Genomic DNA, 16,097 nt, shown 5'->3' with positions numbered 1-16,097 from the left:
CTCTTCTCATCCCTCTGCCTTACCTACAAAGTAACTGCATGTGTTTATCACTCCCTTGCTTTGTTATTCATCAGTTTTGTTACTTATATATTTAATCCGAAACAATTTTTCTGGCTTAGTGTTTTATTATTGGGTATTGCACTGCATGAAGTAATCTAAGATTTGCTTTTTTCACTCAATATTATGTTACTGAGATTTATCCACAGTGTTTCCTATACTATAGGCCATTGATTTTGCTGGTTTTTAACATTCCATTGCATGGCTCTAAGATTATTCATCTATTCCCTGCTGATGAGGATTTTGTTCTGGGTCTCTGCAGCTCTGACACTGTATTGCACTAATCCTGACTCCTCAGTTTTGTGAACTTGTATCTGGACTGCCCAGGCCCATCTTTGAGTGTCCCCACTTCCAGCCACTGAGCAATTCTTCCCTCGCTCTTGAGCATCTGTCCTGGGAAATCAGAGATCCCGAACAGAGGGACCGGCTGGAGCTGCAGCAGAGGAACATAAATTGTGAAGATTTCATGGGCATTTATCAGTTCTCAAAATTAATACTTTTATAATTTCTTACGCATGTCTTTACTGCAATCTTTGAACATAAATTGTGAAGATTTCATTTTAATATGGACATTATCACTTCCCTAATAATACCCTTATAATTTCTTAAGCCTGTCTTACTTTAATCTCTTAATCCTGTTATCTTTGTAAGCTGAGAATGTGCATCACCTCAGGACCACTGTTGTACAAATTGACTGTAAAACACGTGTATTTGAACAATATGAAATCAGTGCACCTTGAAAACGAACAGAATAACAGCAATCTTAGGGAACAAGGGAAGACAACCATAAGGTCTGACTGCCTGCAGGGTCGGGCAGAATAGTGCTATATTTTTCTTCTTGCAGAGAGTCTATAAACAGATGTGCAAGTAGGAGAGATATTGCTAAATTCTTCTCCTAGCAAGGAATATTAAATATTAAGACCCTAGGAAAAGAATTGCATTCCTGGAGGGAGGTCTATAAACGGCCGCTCTGGGAGTGTCTATCTTACGCAGTTGAGATAACAACTGAAATACACCCTGGTCTCCTGCAGTACCCTCAGGCTTATTAGGGCGGGGAAAAGATCCCACCCTGGAAAATTTGAGGTGAGACCAGTTCTCTGCTCTCGAACTCTATTTTCTGTTAAGATGTTTATTAAGACAATATGTGCACAGAGGAACATAGACCCTCATCAGTAATGGTAATTTTGCCCTTGCCTTGTGATCTTGCTTTGCCCTTTGAAGCATGTGATCTTTGTGACCTACTCCCTGTTCATACACCCCCTCCCCTTTTGAAATCCCTAATAAAAACTTGCTGATTTTGTGGCTCAGGGGACATCACAGACCTACCAATATGTGATGTCGCCCCCAGAGGCCCAGCTGTAAAATTCCTCTCTTTGTACTCTTTCTCTTTACTTCTCAGACCGGCTGACACTTAGGGAAAATAGAAAGAACCTACCTTGAAATATTGGGGGCTGGTTCCCCTGATAAGCATCTAAGCCCAGACTCTTGGATGTCCTGCCCAGCCTCATAATGCTTGTTTGTTTCTTTCCTGGGAGACAGAGGTAAAATCTCTGGAGAGCTTTCTTACATTGTGGGATAATAAAATCCCTCAAAGACTATATCTTCCTCAGGGTCTAATCAAGACAGAACAGCCAGTGCTCTCAGTCATCTTAATTAGCCATGATACACAGGCTGGAGTGGCCATTTTGTCTAGTAAATATTGCCAGTGAAAATGGCCTTTGGAGTGGTCTAACAATATTACTTACTGCTAACTGTACATAACCTGTAAGAGAGACTATGTGTTCTCCAGAGATTTGTCAGAGAATATAAAGAACATAATATTGATATTACCATTTCCTAGCATTATCACAGCTAGGTGCAGGATATAATCATTTGAACTCAGAAGCTGAAATATGTGTACAACAACTCACAGATATTTCTCAGTGGATCGTCTGGAGACTCCTAGGGGTTTCTGCAATATTTTCTGCAGACTCATAATGCCAAAAGCATTTTCAAAGTAATGCTAATATATTATTTGTCCTTTTCTGCTCTCATAGTCTTTCAAGTGTATGGTGGCATTTTTCAGAAGCTATGGAAAGGGTATGTAATATTGAAAAGATGGATGCAGGAAAAGGTATGAGAATCCAGCCTATAAAATCAGACACTGAAAGTATTTGCAAAACTGTAAAACATTGTCACTCTTCTCATTAATGTTTTCTTTGGTTTTGGAAATTTTAGTAATTTTCATAAAAATATGTTGCTTATGTTAATAGGTACTTGGTTTACTATTCTTTTCAAATGAATTAGCAAATACACATTTTAATATTTAACAGTTTTTATTTCTAATGTAGTAAATATAGATAGAAATAACCCATATAAATAAATGAAGGCTTACCAAAACTCTTAATCCTTTGTAAGAATTTTAAAAGATCCTTGAAAACAAAAAAAATGAGTGTTGTTAGTCTAAAATAGTTTTTTTTTTGTTTCTCCTCTCTTTCTAAGCTTATTTGGCTCTTTCATTCATAAATACTTGCTACACATAAAATTATTTTATTATTATTATTATTTAACATTTCTGCTTTTTTTGTTTTATTATTAGTTTTCTAAATTTATTACTTTAAATAATAGCATATGAAATTACTTGTCTGCAGATTTAATTTGGGCATATTGAATTATCTTTGTTAGAAACTGTAACAGGCTTTACTCTCTGTGGTTCTTAAACATAGCTATACATTATACTCACCTGGATAGCTTTAGAATATATATCTATGCCTGGACCACACCCCCATATTTTATCATGTAACCTACCAAATACATCAAAGAGTGCCCAATTAAATGCTTATACCTACATTTTTATTAATAGGAAACTTTGATATCAGTGTAGTAGACATTAGTAATCATCAATACTTTTCTTCTCTTTTTCCTGGAAGCACAGACTATTACTTTTCCCAATCCTATTCACAGTTGAATAGCTCGAAATGACTAGATCTGGCAGAAGGGCACAAGGTGAACATGTATAGCTTTTAGATGAACTGCATTAAAATATACGATTCTTACCTAACATACTGTTTGTACTTCTGAGCTAAAATAGAGACACTGTAGTTGGAAAACTTCTCCTAGCAGTAGCCTAAAAGGGTCATCCAACAGAGACTTCTAGTTTGGGCTTGGAAACTACCCAATTAGGACCAAATTTGATTTTTTTCTTTAAACAGACTGGGCATATACTCTGTCCTCCAGACTGGAATGCAGTGGCATGATCATAGCTCACTATAACCTCTAACTCTTGAGCTCAATGATTCTCCCACTTCAGCCTCCAGGGTAGCTGGGACCACAGGTGCACACTAACATGCCCTGCTAATTTTTGTTATTTTTTGCAGAGAGGGATCTTGCTATGTTGCTCAGGCTGCTCTCAAACTCCTGACCTTAAGCAATTCTCCTGCCTCAGCCTCCTAAAGTGCTGAGATACCTGACATCAGCCACTGCACTTGGCCTGATTTCTTCATTTGCATAAACTGACCTGTTTGAGGGTTGGGTCATGAACTTCCTTTATTTAAGTCAGACCTGCTCTTTTTCTCCAGAACATGCTTTCCCTTTACATTGGAGGCTACACATCTCCCTGATCTGTAGACTGTTATTTTTTAGAAAATAAAGTGCCCTTTTGTTTTTCTTCCACAGACCTTAAGATCTTGTGTTAACCCTCAATATATGAAGGACATAGTCTCAACATAACATTTATGGCCAGCATGGTAGCTCATACCTATAATCCCAGAAATTTGGGAGGCTGAAGTGGATGGATCACTTGAGCCCAGGAGCTTGAGACTAGCCTGATTAACGTGAAAAAACGCTGTCTCTACAAAAAATACAAAAATCATTTGTGCATGGTGGTGTGCACCTGTATTACCAGCTACTCAGGAGGCTGAGGTTGGATAATCACCTGAGCTAGGAAGGTCGAGGCTACAGTGAGTCGTGTTCTCGCCACTGCACTCCAGCCTGGGCAACAACAGAGTGAGACCCTATCACAAAAAAATAAATAAATAAAATAAAATAAAATAATTATGAATCATACTACTATTAATTACTACATAAAATTGATACTTCTTTTTAGTTGTTTTGTTTTTGTGCTTTTAATGCTGTTAAGTAAGGATGTACAGTAAGAAGTCTATTCTGTGAAGTCCCATTCCTTGTGTAGTTACTTTACAAATTGATGTATGATTGGGTTTACTTTGTTTCCCTTTGTATTTAATTTCAAGAAATGTTGGTTTTATGCATAATACACTTATGGGATCTTTGGGTCAAAATGATATAGACAGGCATACGAAGATGTTTCATTTCTTTGTTTTCATCCCTGCCCTCTCCACTCTGCCTCTACTTCCATTCCTTATTAGTAAATTTCTCCTGGACCAGCTATCTCACCTGGCAGGTGAGAAGTGACAGCTACCAGCACAGGAGAGGAAGAGTTTACAGAAGCTGTCTGGGTTTCTCAGCTCAAGGGCTCCCTCTTCTGTTATGTCTCCGGCAGTTTATTTAATTAAAGTTAGTGCTTTAGTCCAAATTTCCCTGTCATTTCCTTTTGCTTTCCCAGTTCTCCTGTCCTGATCATTTCATTCTCAAACTTCGCCATAGCAGTTTTCCACTCGTGGTTGTTAGGTCCAGGTCCACGATTATGCCAAATGCCACACCCAGGGTTAGGGTCTAGCCCTAGCTGAGGTCCAAGGGGAGTGGATGGATAGCTGAAAGAACGCTCCAGGGGGGCCGTTTCTCATCAGCGGCTTACTCACACTGGCCCTCTAACACTGTCCACCTTTATCTGGGCTGTCTGCTGCAGCTCTGTGGCTCCTGCCACCCCACACCTGCAGCTGCACATTTGGCTCTCCCTTGCCTTCAGGGTCAGCAGCTTAATTATTTCCCTTTCTGGGCACCAGCACGAGCCATGCTGTGGCTCCCCTATATATCCTTCTGCAAGACAGACAGCTCTGGTTCTCTCTCTCTCTCTTTCTCTGGGTGCCAGCACCATGTCAAGCCATACCTAACAGCCCGTAGTGTCAGCAGGGCAGTTACACCTTCTGCAGACAATAGTGGCTCAGAGCCAAGTTTGAGCTTACACAAACAGGTTATATAACAAGTGGAGTATGCACCTGCACCCTAACCCCGCTGAGTCACACAGGCCTGGATGTCTGCCTAGGCCTAATTCTTGACCAAAGCACATCCATGTCCCTTACAATGGTGCTCTCCCCTCTTGCAGTGCATTCTATTTGCTTGGGTTTCTGAGTTCTGTCACTGCTCATGCTGTGTCTGTATTTCTTTCACTTCTCGGTACGGCAGTCCTTCTGATCCGCTACTGATCTGCTCCACAGTTGTGACTTCCACTCTAATGCTGGGGCTGTGAAGGATCTCCTACCCCTACCTCCCACTTAGGCACTTTTTTTGTTTTTTAATTGGGAATAGGGTGAATTTGTGGGTTTTCTCTGCCTGAAGGTATAGATTGTTTTATTATTTGTATTAGTCCTGTAGAAATATTTAAAACATCTTTTGTTGTGTTTTGTAGAATTTTCAAAGAGAAATGTGAGGAAACTGGAGTAAAAGCTGGACCATGCTCCTCTGGGAACACAGAACGCTCAAGAATTTCTCAGGCATTTGCTATTAGAGTCCTTTCTCTTCTACTCCTTCTGTGTAAATGAAGCAGGGGAAATGGAGAAGCCCAAAAGGAGGCATTGAGAATCAACAGCTAGTGAAAAACCATACATGCTGCTGTGGCAGAGTCAAGCTGAGAAGCCGAAAACACTCTGATTTTTGTTCAAGTGGTTTCTCCTGAGGGACCCAACTAAAGCAAAGTACCCTCAACTCTGTTAAAGTACGGTAAATATCTGCAAAGCAGGAACAAACACGCTGGGCACCTAGATGCTTTTAGGGAGTGATGTGTATTTCTAACATCTGAAACAATGTTTTAAACTCAGCCCTTAATTCAGTGATCTAAATGAACTCACGCAGTTCTCAGGGAATATTTTTATATTTTTTAGAAATATGTACATGCCAAGGTTTCCAATATGTATGTTTTCTCCGTATATATGGGAAGCCATGTGATATTGAAATGGATCCATCACAACTTTAAAAAAGAATTACAGTTCTTACATACACTTTTTAAGGTGTTTGTTGGTTTCTGATATTGGTTTCCCCAATCAGTAAAAAGAAGTACTAGTTCAGCTCTAGCCCAGAAAAGCAGAACATACTGATATGTGTAGTACATCAAAGGAATTATTGTACCAAGTTTTATTTTTGAGGTTTTCAAACACTAAGGTGATTTTACCTCACAATTTATTACAAGAAGAAAAAGCAAGATGAAACTTTTCCAGAAATATTACCAAAGACAAGGTTGAAAGATATTTTTAAAGCAATTTTAGAATCTGTTGTTATTCTGGGTCCTCTGAGAGGCAGATACCAGGACATCATTACACGTGCAAGAGATTTATTAGGGCACTGCCTGTGAGTGTAAATGAGAAGGGAGCCACAGGAAGCAATCAATGCATATTTGATCCATGTGGGAGAGAGAGGGAGGGAAGGGAGGTTGTGTAGAAACATCTTACCCTGCAGTGCGGTTCTAAGAAATTTCATCAAGTATATCACTGAGTCCTTCAGTGAAAATAACCCCCCAGAAACAGTCCTGCTGCAGTCTCCTGCCTACACTCAGCCACTGCCTGGGAGCAGCCTGTTGGAAGTATGATCTTGACATGAACTGGGTGTTGGTGGATTCAGAGTACAGCCTCTGGGACCCTAAGTCAATTACTCTCCCAGCAGTTAGACAGCTCATTTTCACAGCTGCCACTTATTCAAAGTCAAGAAAGCATACTAAGTTACCTATCTCAAAGTTACAGCATATCGTCCTTCTTTTATGCAAAAATCCAAAATTAAATGCAAAAAACACCTACTTAGAGTATGCTTATGTCTACAACAAGACTGAGAGCCACTCCATTCTTCTGTATATTAAAAATGTGCCTTTGGTCTAAGAAGCTAGATATATTGAACTATGCCTAGGAATCAAGTTGGCTATGAAAATCACTAACTTTAGAAAAGGGAAAAGAATGTGAATAAATAATCTGATGACAAAAATTTCATTTTTAAGTGGTATAGTGACTGCCCTGGCTATATAAGAAAAGGGCTTTGAAGGATTGCAGCATTCATGATTTATAGAATTCTTTTTCAGTACTGACCTAATTGACTTGTGCTTTCAGAAAATTCATTAATTAATGATTAATAAAATAACACCTTGAACCACGTGGCAGTCTCAGGGCAAACGGCCTGAGTTTCAGAGTCTCAAGGCAGAAAACTGATGCCATTTCAATATTTCCCACCCTAGGTCAGTGTTCTGTTGTTGTTTCAACCGTGGTGGTCTTGTCCACCACTTAGGTGTCCTTTCAGCCCTGAACTTTAAATATACCTCACCAATCCAGCTCTGGATGACTTGCCTTCCTGCTGCCTATGGCTGCATCTTACGGTGGCTTCTGGTCTCTAACAATACTTTTCTTTGAACATTTTACAGTTTTTCTGTACATTCACAACTATCTGATCTTGTGTTCCACGCTGGCATTCACCAGAACTTACTCCTTTTTGTGTATGTGCAGATGCTGTTATTTAGAGTGGGATTCATCTATTTATAACAACCTCATGTGATGCCCATTTGAAATTTTACTGATTTTACTGAGCTTTACTGAGCTTTACATTATGGGATGATTCTGAGCTCCATTCAATCAAGATAAAGAAAGCATCATGCCAGATGAGAAGGGAAACTCATCTCTTCTTTTTCCAATGCTGAAAGAGTAAGTGTAAGATGGAAGCTCTGTTTCTTGAAAGTTTGTTAAAAATTCATCCCTTAAAATTGTGACTGGGTGAAATGTCATATCTGATTAACTTGGAATTCAGTAGGAAAAATAAGAGCAAAGTAAAAAAATTAATCAAACAAATGGTAAGAAGTGAGAAAGGAAAACAACAAAAAGAATAATAAAGAAATCAGAAAATAAAAGGCAATTAATAAATCAGTCAGTTAATTAGACAACTTAGTAGCTACTATCAGGTCAAAACATAACATAACAACGTAACAAATTACCAAGCACTGATAAAAGCTATGAGAAAATTAAGTAGGTAATGAACTAAGACTGGGCAACTTATTTCCTTAGGATGGTCAAGAAAGTCTCAAAGGAAATAATGCTTAATTTGAAATCTGGATTATCGGAAGGAAAGTGTTCTGGGCTGGCAGGTCTTCATCTAATATTTCAGTGTCTCAGGACATTACAATTTGGTTCCACTTTTATTCCACTTATTTGATTCTAGAGCTATTTTTTTTTTGTCGTGTATTTCCCAGAAACAAAATAGGGTAAGTTGTCCACATTATTTTCTTACAATTAGTCTTCTTGGTATCTGTACTTATTCCATACTTTTATTTCTAACATTGTTTATTTGTTCCATATCTCTTTTTTGTCATAACAGAAAGTTTATTTATTATTATTTTATTATTGTTAAGGTTTCTTCTTTTGTTAACTCTATTCTTTCATTTTTATTACATTAGTTTCTACTTTTTCTCTATTAATCCCTTCTTATACCTCGAATAGGTTTATTTCCTAACTTGACAGCATAGTTTACTGATTTTTTAATCTTTTTTTATTAACAAATGAATTTAAGACTATAAATATTTTCCCTACCTGTTTGCATTACTTCTGCCTGAAGATGTCGTCTCATTGCCGTCTTCCTCCAGTACCCTATTTTTATGTTTTCCTAGAAAATTCTTTGATTTTGTTTTTATTTTTGGTACAGTTAGTGTTTGCCACTACACCTAAATTTTCTAGATTGTTTTTATTTTTGGTAAAATTACTCTTTGCCACTGTATCTAAATTTCCTAGTTTGTCTTTTAGTATATCTTCCCTAAGGAAGAGTGGATTATTTTCATTAAAAAAATTCATTCTTCACTTCTAGATTACTCATTGTATTGACCATTTATATGTCACATATGCTCCTCTGAATCTCCTCCTAGTTTGATGTTGGAACTATTGGATGCATCCTCATTGGTTCACAAACTTCCATCTCCAACCTCCTTCTCTATCTTTGGTGCCTTCTGGTTTCACTCTTTAACAAGATCTTCTAAGACCAAATCTACATTTCCTCACAGTCCATTCTGTCCTTTTATTTTTAATTTGAACAACAGTTTTTATTTCTGAGATACCTCCCTTTTTTTCTCCACTTCTCCAGTTCTCCAGTTCTTGTATTATAATGGTGGCTTATGCCTTTATATAACCCAATCAAGGGTAGAATACAAAGACTTAAAAAGGTTCTATCCACAAAGATAATCAATGTTAGCTACTATGATTAATATTCTTATTTGAAAGTCTAAATCTGCCCCATCAGTTAACACTTTGCTGATGTTTAGATTCTTCCATATTCTTTGCTGTTATGTTTCCATTTAGACTATTTTCTGTTTCTGTTTATACAGACTGCTTAGAGAGAGTGAGTAAAATATGTCTTGAATCCTGGCCTAGCTTCAGAGAAAGTAAGAAGGTAGTAGCTTGATCGTATGTTCAGTGCTATACTTTTATATATGGGTCCTCCTTATACCACCCAACTTCTGCCATCAACAACACTGCACTCTCTTCTGCCTGAGTTCACTCACCCATTGCTCCTGTTTGGAAACAAACACTGGAAATGCACTTTCTTAGCTACTCCTGTTTCGGTCTCTCTGGTTCTATCAGCTCCTACTACCCACCATCTCCATGTAAAAAACAGTCTTGGTGCTGTTTTTGCCTGTTTGCCTTTGCCCTATATTTGGTGATTTTCCTGTATTATCTCATACTGCTCATCTTTTAGATATTTATCACTCTTTCATGGTATTAGAATTGTGGGAGTGTTCTCTTTCTGCCTATCTTTTAGTTTTCTATTTTTTCTCATAATTGTTACAAATATGGAGAAGACGAAGAGGATTGCAGCCTCTTCTCAGGCTGCCATCTTAAAAAGGAATTTAGTACAGAAAGTTGTAAAGTGAAGTTCCCAGCAACCTTTGGAAAGCTAATAACTATAACATTACAATTATTCAGGCTATACAATATTACAAAATTATTTTCACCATATTTAATACCACAAACCTAATTTAGCTTATTACTATAATATAGAATCCCAGTGAAAATACAATCATGTAAATCCAGCTTTTAATCATTTTAAAATGATTAAATCTCAAAAGAATAGCACACTATAACTAAGTAGTATTTATTCCAAGAATATTGTTATAATTAAGGAATTGTAGCAGCATAACCCACTCAATCAATACATTAAAAAGGGGAAAATATATAATTATATAAACAGATGAAAATAGATAAAATCTACTATGGAGTTTAATAAAAATATAAATAAAATAGGAATGTTTGGAAGCAAATGATTTAGTAACTGTGTCATACAACAACAACAAAAAAAGCTATTTCTTTCTCATTACCTTTACTCAGGACATAGCTTTGGCTTTGCTTGTCCCTGCTCAATTTTGTTTTACATATCCTCTTCTTTTGTAGATCCAGGCTAATGGACTAATCTTTATCTATAACTTGTTATTATGGCAAATGGAAAAGAAGAATCTTTGTAAAACTATGAGATAGTTCATAAAGCTTCTGTTGGACATTCCATTGAGTGATGGATGCTTACATTCCCTTTACCAAAGAAACTCCTGTGTCAAGCCTGGTTTCAAAGGAACGGAAAGTACATCCCTTCTACTAAGAGGTACTGGAAATCAAAGTGCCATGGAAGGGCTTATAAATTTAGTAAAAATAATACTATTGAATCCATCTCTCTTAACTGCAGTGTCTTTCATGTACAACACATGGTTGAGATTTTTTGATATGCATGTGAGGAAACTATCATACACAGTTACTAGTTCAAGAAACTAATAAGGATAATTTATTTTAAAATAATTTCAACTATAAGGGGCTACAAATTACATTGTTATTCATTTCCTAAACATTCTAGGCATTCTTCTAAATTCTGTAGTCTGTATGTATTCTAAAGCAGCAGTTCCCAACCATTTTGGCACCAGAGACTGGTTTCATGAAAGATATTTTTTCCACAGATTATGGTAGAGGCTGGTTTCAGGATGAAACTATTCCACCTCAGATCATGAGGCATTAATTAGATTCCCATAAGAAGCATGCAACTGATCCCTCGCATGCGGAGTTCACAATAATGCTGCTACTGGTCTGACAGGAGGCAGAGCTCAGGTGGTAATGTTTGCTTGCCTCCCCCTCACTTCCTGCTGTGCAGCCCAGTTCCTAACAGGCCATGAACAGGTACTAGTCCATGGCCTGGGGTTTGGGGACCCATTTTCTAAAGGATAATTTTAGAAAAATAAATCCAATGATTGCATTTAGTATGTGATGTAATTGAGTCAATACATAATACATGGCACAGAATACTTTGCACTTGGATCTAAACGTGATATATTTCCAAGTGTAATTAATTGCAGAATGGTTGTCAATTTGAAGATTATTTTAATGTCTTTTAAGATGTTATATAGCTCTAATAAAGAATCACTTGATGACTGTATTCTCATCGCTTCACCACATACTTTTGCCAACTGAAAGAGAAATCGAACATAATTTTCAATAAATGAATGTACTAACACAGATTAGAATCTTAAGTTCAAGTCTTATTTTCTCAAATTTTTAATTTGCTATGTATAATTACAACTTGTATTGTTACCTGCTAAAGCAAGTGGCAAAATATAATTTTAAAAAGATATAAAGGCATGTTCCCCAAAGTAAAATTTCATTTGATATTTAAAGATGGTTTTTAAATATTGTGACAATAAGTCACAATGTCTTATTTGACTGTTTCATCAAACAACTTATTTTTTGTTTTCTGATTTTAAAAAGTGTGTCACTATAATTGTCTTCCAGGCTTTTCTCTGTGTTATACCATCTTTGTCTTATCTGAATTGTATAGCTTCCATATAATGATAACATTATTGACAAGTGAACAGATTTCAGCTGTTGCCCAAGAATGTCAAATTTAAATTTATGGGATCATTGTGCTTTCTAAGATTATAAATACAATAACAAACCATTTATTGGCTGACTGTCCATTTGTTCACACTATAATGCAAATTTAGAAGGGAATATAATTTTGAACTGGAAAAGATAACTGCTATCAGGTGCCAAGTCCATACTTTTATGCCTTAATCTGGACATTAATAGCATTTTTATCCAGGGTGACATACTTAGAGAGGAAAAAATAAATCAAAATGTTGAAAAAATTTTGTTGTTTGAATGGCCAGTGTAAGGATAGAATTCTTTAAAACATATTAGTTTTTCCAAAGTAGGATGCAAAAACTAATAATGATAATGGAAATAGGGCTTAAAATTTAAGAAATACTTAAACACTAAACTAACTTTCTAAATTACAAACTACTTTAAAATGGTAGGATTGATGATTCATAGAATATTTATAAAATGATCATTCTTGCATTTTTTTAAATGGTAAGAAAAGGTATATGGTTTTTTAATGAAATGAAGTAATTGGCTTTTGTCAGTTCCCACTAAAATGTGTTTTCTACAGCTGTACAGGCATCATATTTGGTTTAATAATGACAAAATTCACAGTATTTTGTTTTCTTAAAATTGATGAAATATCATTTCTTTGAATTGTACAGTGTATGAGAATAATAATCTGATACGCATATTTAACTTCAGATTTCCAGGTTTTTACAAAAGAACACAAAAACTTCCTCATGCCTGGTGACCTCATTTGGCCTCTTGAATGTAAAAAGACAACTGTTATTTCACTACTAGCCTCTAATATTTACCAAAAACATCTGGTTCACACTAAACCAGAATGATAAAGGGAAGGGATTTCTGGGAAATGTACTTCTATCTTTGTTAAACTGGCACAATACAATCCCACTATAATTCTCCCTGTCAATGTCATATTTATGTACAACTCTGTTAACTGCACTTAACATAACTTCTACCTTAAGACAATAGCAAAGTCATGCTTCCCTATAACATAATGAAATTGTCCTTTGTACAACTTTCTCCTCAAATAAGACACAAAATCTACTTATTCATTCTAGACTTTTTTTTTTTGAGACGGAGTCTTGCTTTGTGGCCCAGGCTGGAGTGCAGTGGCGCGATCTTGGCTCCCTGCAAGCTATGCCTCCTGGGTTCACACCATTCTCCTGCCTCAGTCTCCCGAGTAGCTGGGACTACAGGCGCCTGCCATGACGCCCAGCTTTTTTGTATTTTTAGTAGAGACGGGGTTTCACCGTGTTAGCCAGGATGGTTTCTGTCTCCTGACCTCGTGATCCACCCGCCTCACCAGCCTTGACCAAAGTGGTGGGATTACAGGTGTGAGCCACCACGCCAGGCCTCTTGAGTGACTTTTATTACCCTTCTACCTGAGTCACATTCCTTCTTTGATATCTTACAAATTAAACGCTATCATACAAGATTAATTACTTTTAATACTTTTTATGTTAGATGTTAGGCAAATGTAAAAGGAAAAGAGAAAAAAAAATTAATATACACACAAGTATTTGCATATTAAAATAAGGAAAACATTCATAAGTATTACAGTGCTCATTTCTGCCACTGGTCATATGGTCATGCATAGTATTTATAATTACCTTTTTCTACTACTCTTTGTCTTAAGCTTGTTATAATTTGGTGTAGGCCGGGGTCCTCAACCCCTGGTCCATGGCCTGTTAGGAACTGGGACACACAGCACGAGGTGAGTGGCAGGCAAGCACTACCGCTTGAGCTTTGCCTCCTGTCAGATCGGTGGCGGCATTAGATTCTCATAGGATTGCAAACCCTATTGTGAACTGCACATGTGAGGGATCCAGGTTGCATACTCCTTGTGACACTCTAATGCCTGATGATATGAGGTGGAACAGTTTCATCCCAAAACCATCTCCCACCCCATAAGTCCACTGAAACAGTATCTTCCACAAATCTGGTCCCTGGTGCCAAAAAGGTTGGGGGCCACAGGTCTAAGCCATGAGAGTCCCCCATGTATTAGATTGTTTTCATTTTCCAGTGGCTTTACTCACTGGGAATGGGAATATTAAGAGGTAACCCAGAGGACCACCTGCTTTCCGGACATACTTTTCTTTATTCCCATTGTGTGTTAGCAGCCCGATTTATTCTAGATAATCAGAATCCATCACCTCAGGCCAAACACCAGTGCTCTTTTTGTCTGTTGAATATGAGGAGCCCAAAGACGCCAGCTAAGAGTCTTGGCTTTGGGTTTAATGAAACTATTGCTATAGACCTTTGTAGAAACATTTATCCCTTGAAAACTAAGACTTCTAGGCCAGCAGAGTCCAAAGGTGTTGAGAATGGGCAGTAATAGCATGTAACTATATCTTTAGGAGTAACAGTAAGAAGAGTCACTCCTGTTTATCCTTTGTTTTCTGGATTTATGAATCTCGACTATGAGAGAAACAGGGTCATAGATTGGTTGCTGATGGAGGCCATATGCCACATTGTGGAGAATGTTATCCTAGCTTCACAAAATTTAGTCACTCAGTTGACGCTTCAAAAGCTCATTTCACCTTTGTTTCAGGCCAGTTGCTTTAGAGTGATGAAGATCATGATAAGAGCAATACATTTCATGAGTATCTCTGCACTTTATGTTTGGTAAAATGAATTCCTTGGTCAGGAGTATGTAATAACATGATCATGAGTAAGGCATTCCTCAAGTTCACAGATGGTGGGTTTGGCAGAAGCATTTCAGGCAAGGAAGGCAAATATATTTTTGGAGTAAATGTCTACTCCTTTGCGAACAAGCAGTGTTTGTTTCAACCTTGATGGAAAAATGCAGGTAGGTGTCCTGGATGAGCCTTGCTAGAGAGGATTTCTCTGTAGATGTACTTCACAGGCACCATCCTGTATCCATTGGTCTATTGTCCTCATTCTTCCTGCAAATAAATTTGCATTAAAATAGTCATCTAATGTATTGTTCATGCCATGTATCTGCTGCAGGCATTGATACCTTTCTAAAAACAGAAACTTTGTTTTAAAATTTAATTTAAGTTCCGGGATACATGTGCAGGATGTGTAGGTTTGTTACATAGGTAAACATGTGCCATGGTGGTTTGCTACACCTGTCAACCCATCTCTTAGGTATTAAGCCTCATGTGCATTAGCTACTTATCCTGATGCTCTCCCTTCCTCCAAACTAGTGACAGACACTATTGTGTGTTGTTCCTCTCCCTGTGTCCATGTGTTCTACCTGTTCAGCTCCTGCTTACAAGTGAGACACATGGTGTTTGGTTTTGTTCCTGCGTTAGTTTGCTAAGGATAATGGCTTCCAGATCCATCCATGTCCCTGCAAAAGATATGATCTCATTCCTTTTTATGACTGCATAGTATTCCATGGTGTATATGTACCACATTTTCTTTATCCAGTCTATCGTTGATGGACATTTGGATTGATTCCATGTCTTTGCTATTGTGAACAGTGCTTCAGTGAACATACACGTATGTATATCTTTATAATAGAATGATTTATATTTCTTTGGGCATATACCCAGTATGGAGATTGCTGGGTCAAATGGTATTTCTGCTTCTAGGTCTTTGAGGAATCACAACATTGTCTTCCACAATGGTTGAATGAATTTACATTCTCACCAACAGTGTAAAAGCATTCCTATTTCTCCACAGCCTCACAAACATCTTTCATTTTTTGACTTTATAATAATGGCCCATCTGACCAGTGTTAGATGATATCTCATTGTGGTTTTAATTTGCATTTTTCTAATGATAAGTGATGTTGAGCTTTATTTCATGTTTGTTGGCTGCATAAATGTCTTCTTTGAGAAGTGTCTGTTCATGTCCTTTGCCCACTTTTAAAAGGGTTTTTTTCCTGTAAATTTTTTTAAGTATTGTCAATTCTGAATATTAGACCTTTGTCAGATGAATAGATCGCAAAAATTTTCTCCTATTCTGTAGAAAAACCTAAACTTTTTGTTCATGACATATCCATTGGGGTTGTGGAAATAATTATGACATATTAAAGCAGGCAGCCAACACAGTAATAGAGCT

At 37.2% G+C, this 16,097-nt stretch overlaps 2 long non-coding RNA genes across 7 annotated transcripts in view; both read right to left on the bottom strand.

The window, feature by feature from the left end:
• Positions 1 to 16,097, bottom strand: part of LINC02718 (long intergenic non-protein coding RNA 2718) — a 376,384-nt gene that overhangs the window by 87,472 nt on the left and 272,815 nt on the right. The gene's annotated exons all lie outside the window — the stretch shown is intronic.
• The window catches only part of LOC124902646 (uncharacterized), a 187,361-nt gene continuing 181,392 nt past the window's right edge, over positions 10,129 to 16,097 (bottom strand). The window contains exon 2 of the long non-coding RNA XR_007062623.1: positions 10,129 to 14,971. This is a non-coding gene — a long non-coding RNA (uncharacterized LOC124902646). The remainder of the gene's footprint in view (positions 14,972 to 16,097) is intronic.

The sequence above is a fragment of the Homo sapiens genome, chromosome 11, assembly GCF_000001405.40.
Source record: "Homo sapiens chromosome 11, GRCh38.p14 Primary Assembly".
NCBI classification, from domain to species: domain Eukaryota; kingdom Metazoa; phylum Chordata; class Mammalia; order Primates; family Hominidae; genus Homo; species Homo sapiens.
This window is presented reverse-complemented; position numbering and strand designations above follow the sequence as displayed.